The 5,631-nt window shown below is 45.9% G+C and overlaps 2 annotated features.

Moving 5' to 3' along the window:
- Positions 1,752-2,370: an enhancer, noted in NCBI's record as "OCT4-NANOG-H3K27ac-H3K4me1 hESC enhancer chr2:225298144-225298762 (GRCh37/hg19 assembly coordinates)". NCBI's record gives its function as "activates a minimal SCP1, AML or CMV promoter by ChIP-STARR-seq in naive and primed H9 embryonic stem cells {active_cell/tissue: H9 hESC(naive and primed)}" and the evidence as "EXISTENCE:reporter gene assay evidence [ECO:0000049][PMID:30033119]".
- Positions 2,371-2,990: an enhancer, noted in NCBI's record as "H3K27ac-H3K4me1 hESC enhancer chr2:225297524-225298143 (GRCh37/hg19 assembly coordinates)". NCBI's record gives its function as "activates a minimal SCP1, AML or CMV promoter by ChIP-STARR-seq in primed H9 embryonic stem cells {active_cell/tissue: H9 hESC(primed)}" and the evidence as "EXISTENCE:reporter gene assay evidence [ECO:0000049][PMID:30033119]".

The raw sequence follows: 5,631 nt of genomic DNA, 5'->3' as shown, positions 1-5,631 counted from the left end.
CTGATGAATTGTCAAGAGAAAGAAACTGGATAGCATTCCACGTTTCTCATTTTTGCAGAGCATAGTACACTGAGAAACACTCTAGGAAAGCCGGAGCCATCAGAATGCTCAGCAATGGCCTCCCAGAGCTTAGATTTTTATGGTAAACTGAATATTTAGCTCTTAGCATTTCAGCTCCTGTTGGAAAAATTTTAGAAAATCTACTTATTTCTTGCCTTTGTAACCATAGTATATGAACATATTTGAATTTTGATTCACAAGCAAATGTCTCTCAGTCCAGTGTAAGCGTGGTGGCTCACGTCTATAATCCCAGCACTTTAGAAGGCCAAGGCAGGTGGATCACTTGAGGTCAGGAGTTCGAGACCAGCCTGGCCAACATGGTGAAACCCCGTCTCTACTAAAAATACAAAAATTAGCTGAGCATGGTGCCACATCCCTGTAGTCCCAGCTACTTAGGAGGCTGAGGCAGGAGAATCGCTTCAACCTGGGAAGCGGAGATTGCAGTGAGCAGAGATCACGCCACTGCACTCCAGCCTGGGCAACAGAGTGAGACTCCGTCAAAAAAACAAAACAAAACAAAACACCGCATCATTTTCTGAGGGAGTTGTAGTGGGACTGTTACGGGTGGAGGGTGTCCAGGACAAAATGAACAAACAAAACAAGCAAAGAATGAAGCAACAAAAGCAGAGATGTATTGAAAATGAAAGTGCATTTCACAGGGTGGGAGCAGCCCGAGCATAGGGGCTCAAGAGCCTGGTTACAGAATTTTCTGGGGTTTAAATACTCTCTAGAGGTTTCCATTGGTTACTGGGTGTACAACCTATATAAATGAAGAGGATGAAGTAAAGTTACAAAGTCATTGACTCGGTGTACGCTCTACGTAAATAGAGAGGATATTTCCTGTCATAGCTGGAGTGTTTCCATTTGAGTTAGTTCTAGGAAATCAGCGGAATTGGCCTTATGTTCCCTGCCTCCAGACCCTATTCTGCCTCAGGACCCACCCAGTGCCTGGCCTGAAGATGAAACCCTCAGGAAGTGGCTTTGTTGACAAAGCTGAATAGTTTAGTATAACTTTCCTTGTTCTGATAAAAATTAAAGGCAGACACTCTTTTCTGAAAATGCTATCTACCTGGAGATTTTAACTGTAAACTTAAATTCTTTCTACCAAATGAAGGGAAACGATTTTATCATTATAATCTTGGAGAATTTTACTCTTGTTGTATCTGACTCTTAAAGAGGAAAGAAGTGATTAATATGGGATTGGTCTATATCAACACGGAATCCCAGTTCTCCCCAAAAGGAAGGCTCTGAGCAATAGGGGATGTGAAGTTTTATTGGGCTATTATAGTAGATCGGCATGTCTGTCTAAACACATTCTTTTATAACTTCCATTTCAGTTGAAACTTTTATCTCTCACACGTTTCCCCACTAGACTTTTGATACCCTCTGAAAGATAAGATTTGTATACATAACTATGCTTTAGGGCTGGGTGCTGTTTGTATTTGACTGGATAAAGTTAACTTTGAACAAGAGTTATTTGGTGATTTTTATTTTAAAAAGGAAACCCTCCCAATATAGTTACATTATTTGTCTAATCAAGTATGGTTTACGGAATAAAAATTTCACATGCATGTTCCAACCTACATGTATAACCAAGAAATGTGATAACTAAAGAGGTTCTGGAGTTACAAAAGTTAGAATCATTTCTGTAGTTAATAAAACCCAATTAATATGGGTATTATACATCAAATCATTCTCCACAGCTGTCCCCTTGTGTTTGCCCTTCATGAGTTCCTTTATTTGTTTCTTCATTTATTTATTCATCAAGCTTTCAAAAACCTAGTATGTGTCAGGCACTGGGAATCTAAAGATAAATAGAACTGTAGCCCTTCCCCTTTGGAGAAAGATATTCAAGGGTAGTGTTGCAGTGTGCTAAGTTCCGTAACATGGATATGAATGTGGTGAGGCCTACAGGCGTCAGAGAAGGCTTTTGGAGGGAGCAATGCTTATGCCGAATTTCTAAGAAGGAGCAGGAATTCACCAGGTGCCAAGCGGCGATGAGGTTTAGGCACAGACATTTAAGAGGCAATTTACATGTGAAAAGGCAGAAGAATGCAGCTTGTTGGGGAAGCTGCAAGCAATTGGATGCAGCTGGAGATCTGTTCTCTTTGGGAGGTATGCCTGCCTGCCAGCCATGGAAGGCCTGTCGGGCGTGGGGCTCTCGAAGCCGTTGGTGTCAGGCCCAGGAGCTGCGCTTTATTCTGCAGGGCAGACAGTGGGAATCCTGAACGGTTTTAAGGCTCTGTAAGTAAAAGTGGTGGTGGTTGTGATAGGTGGAGAAGAGGAAGGTCAAGGTGGGAGAGGGGTGAAGAAGAAACACAGAGGTAAATAACGCTATGGGCGGAGGCTATCCTTTGGCTCACCTTAACAAATAGGGATGATAGGCCGGGCGCGGTGGCTCACGGCTGTAATCCCAGGGCTTTGGGAGGCCGAGGAGGGCGGATCACGAGGTCGGGAAATCGAGACCATCCTGGCTAACACGGTGAAACCCCGTCTCTACTAAAAATTAGCCGGGTGTGGTGGCAGGCGCCTGTAGTCCCAGCTACTTGGGAGGCTGAGGTAGGAGAATGGCGTGAACCCGGGAGGCGGAGCTTGCAGTGAGCTGAGATCGCGCCACTGCACTCCAGCCTGGGCGACAGAGCAAGACCCCATCTCAAAAAAAAAAAAAAAAAAAAAAAGTAGAGATGATAGGTCGGGCGGAGTGGTTCACGGCTGTAATCCCAGGGCTTTGGGAGGCTGAGGCGGGCAGATCATTTGAGGTCAGGAGTTTGAGACCAGCCTGGCCGACGTGGTAAAACCCGTCTCTACTAAAAATACAAAAAAAATTAGCTGGGCATGGTGGTGCATGCCTGTAATCTAAGCTACTCGGGAGGCTGGGGCAGGAGCATTGGTTGAATCTGGGAGGCAGAGGTTGCAGTGAGCCAAGATTTTGCCACTGCATTCCAGCTTGGGCAACAGAAGGAGATTCCATCTCAAAAAAAAAAAAAAAAAAAAAAAAAAAAAAAAAAAAGGACGATAAGAATATGGCCTGTCTTATAAAATTGTTGAGATGTTTCAATGATTTAATACATGCAAGGCATGATAAAACAGCATCTAGCCCATCACTGTAAACAGTAGCTGTTGTTAATAGAAGCCTGCAATGCGATAGAGTATGAACTCAGAAAGCTTGCTCTGGTGGTCCAGCAGAGAAAGGTTTAGGCGGAAAGGGCCAAGGAGAAGGTGTTTGAAGTTCACCAGAAGAGAAACCATTGAACCAGAAAATTGATTCAAAAGATATTTAAAAGATAACTTCTTCAGGATTTGGCAGCTGACAGGATGTGAAGAGTGAGAGTGATGAATCATGGGTGACACCCCAAGTTGCTGGCTTGGCAGTCTGGGGGAGTGAGGTGTTAATAACAAGGAAAGGAAAAGAGGAGGAAGGGAGGGTTTGGAGCAGGCTGGGGAGGAATGAGCTCCGTTTTTGACATGTTGTATTTGAGGTGTCTGTGGGACACCAAAGTGGAGATGCTGGCCTGGATCCATGGATCAGGCGTAGGAATTTGGATTTGAGACTCATCACGACATGGGTGTTAGGGAAGCCATGGGCGTGGTTGAGCTGGTACAATGCAGATGGGGCACAAAGCGTGAGCAGCATCTCCATGGAGGTCTGGATCAGGAGAACACTGGACCCTTTCCTTCTGGGGTGATGATGATGTGAGAATGAGTCCAAAGTTGTTCTACTTGTGTGGGAATGATCCATCAGGAAGCCAGCCCATCCACGGGGGAATGGCTGCTGGAGACAAGAGAGGAAGAAAGAAAGAATCTCCAAGTGACTGGAAATGGTGACTGGGGATTATAAGGGAGGAAAATATCTTTTCATCCTAATTTCATGGCCTAAGGCTCCTAAAACAAATGACTGATTAACAAGAGAAAAGCATGCAAATTTATTTAATATAAGTTTTACATAAGGAAGTGAAGACCTGAAGAAACAGTTAAGCCAGTGTTTGTTTGTTTGTTTGAGACAGGGTCTCACTGTGTTGCTCAGGCTGGAGTACAGTTGCACAGTCATGACAAAATCATGGCTCTCTGCAGCCTCCATCTCCCCTGGCTCAGGGCTCAGGTGATCCACCTCAGCCTCCCAAGTAGCTGGGACTACAAGCGTGCATCACCATACCCAGCTAATTTTTCTATTTTTTATGGAGACGGGGATTTGCCATGTTGCTCAGGCTGGTCTCAAAATCTTGGGCTCAAGCGATCTTGACCTTGACCTCAAGTGATCTGCCTTGACCTCCCAAAGTGCCAGAGTGTTTTCTATAGTAGGTTTGATAAGGAGTGGATAGTCGTGGAGAAATAAGAGAAGGCAAAGAGTGTGATCTAATGGTATTTAACTGGGGGAAACTAAGTAAGGCCCACCTGTCCAGATGCTTCTCTGTGCCCCTTCATCTTCTGAGATAAGGATGTTCCTTTCCTCTGGTATAGGAAAGGCACCCCTCACATGAGGTTTGTATGACTTGCTTCAGGGGTGAAGGGCAGGGGAAGATCAGAAGACCTTCCTTCTTCTGCATTTTCTCATATTCCTTCATTTAAAATATTCTGGAGTAGTGTGTCCTGAACCTCATCACTTGAGGAGCTACCAGAGTCCCTGTAGAAATGTTCCCAGGCAGGAGAGGACAATGGTGCAGTGTGAACTAACTGCTTGTTAGTGTTGGGCAGATGGTGATGAAGAGCAGTGGGTGATGGGGAAGGTGGGAACTAGATGCTGGCTGGAGGGCAGCTGCTCCCCCAAATAACTGCTGTTTATTGAGCATTACTGTGTGCCCTTCATGGTGCTGAGCCTCTCAGATGAATGTGTTAGTCCTCATAGCAACCTTCTTAGTGGCTACTATTAGCGTCTGTGTTGCACCAATTAAAAAACAGTCTGACTGGGCATGCAGGCCTAGCTGGGAAAATCGCTTGAGGCCAGGAGAACAAGACCAGCCTGGGCAATGTACTGAGACCTCACCTCTACTAAAAATAAAAATAGCTGGTGTAGTGATGCGTTCCTGTAGTCCCAGATACTCCAGAGGCCGAGGCAGGAGGATCCCAGGAGGTCAAGGCAGCAGTGAGCTATTGATGCAGGATTTTTCTCAGCCCATTTGCTGGACTCACAGCAGGGGCACCCTGTCTACCCGGCCCGCCATGCTCAGCCCCTTGCAGGAAGGAGCACATGAGCAAGTGAGTGTAGGACCCTGCTGGACAATCTGCTGAAACAGGAGCAAGCTCCATGCAGGGCCCAAGGCCAGACCAGGTGTGTCTCCTCAAGCAGAATGCAGGCAAGGGTGCTCAAGCCCCAGAGTGGGTGTTAGTGTGCTAATTAGTTATTTTAGTTCTGCCGTCCATAGCTCAGTGGATGGCAGTGTGTTAGCAGCTCAGTTGGCCCCTGCCCCGTTGCATGGAGTGGCTGCCCTCTGCCAGTGAGGGCAAAGGACCAGTGTAACAGCCTTTCTGGGTACCTGTACTCAGTGGGTCCCGAGCTCTTGTCCAGTGTCCAAGAAGAATGAGGTCATGCTTGACAATTGAAGAATGGTGAGGGCAGAGAATTTTATTGAGGGA

This window comes from Homo sapiens, chromosome 2, assembly GCF_000001405.40.
Source record: "Homo sapiens chromosome 2, GRCh38.p14 Primary Assembly".
NCBI lineage: Eukaryota > Metazoa > Chordata > Mammalia > Primates > Hominidae > Homo > Homo sapiens.
Note: the sequence above shows the minus strand (reverse complement) of the source record. Positions and strands in the feature narration are given on the sequence as shown.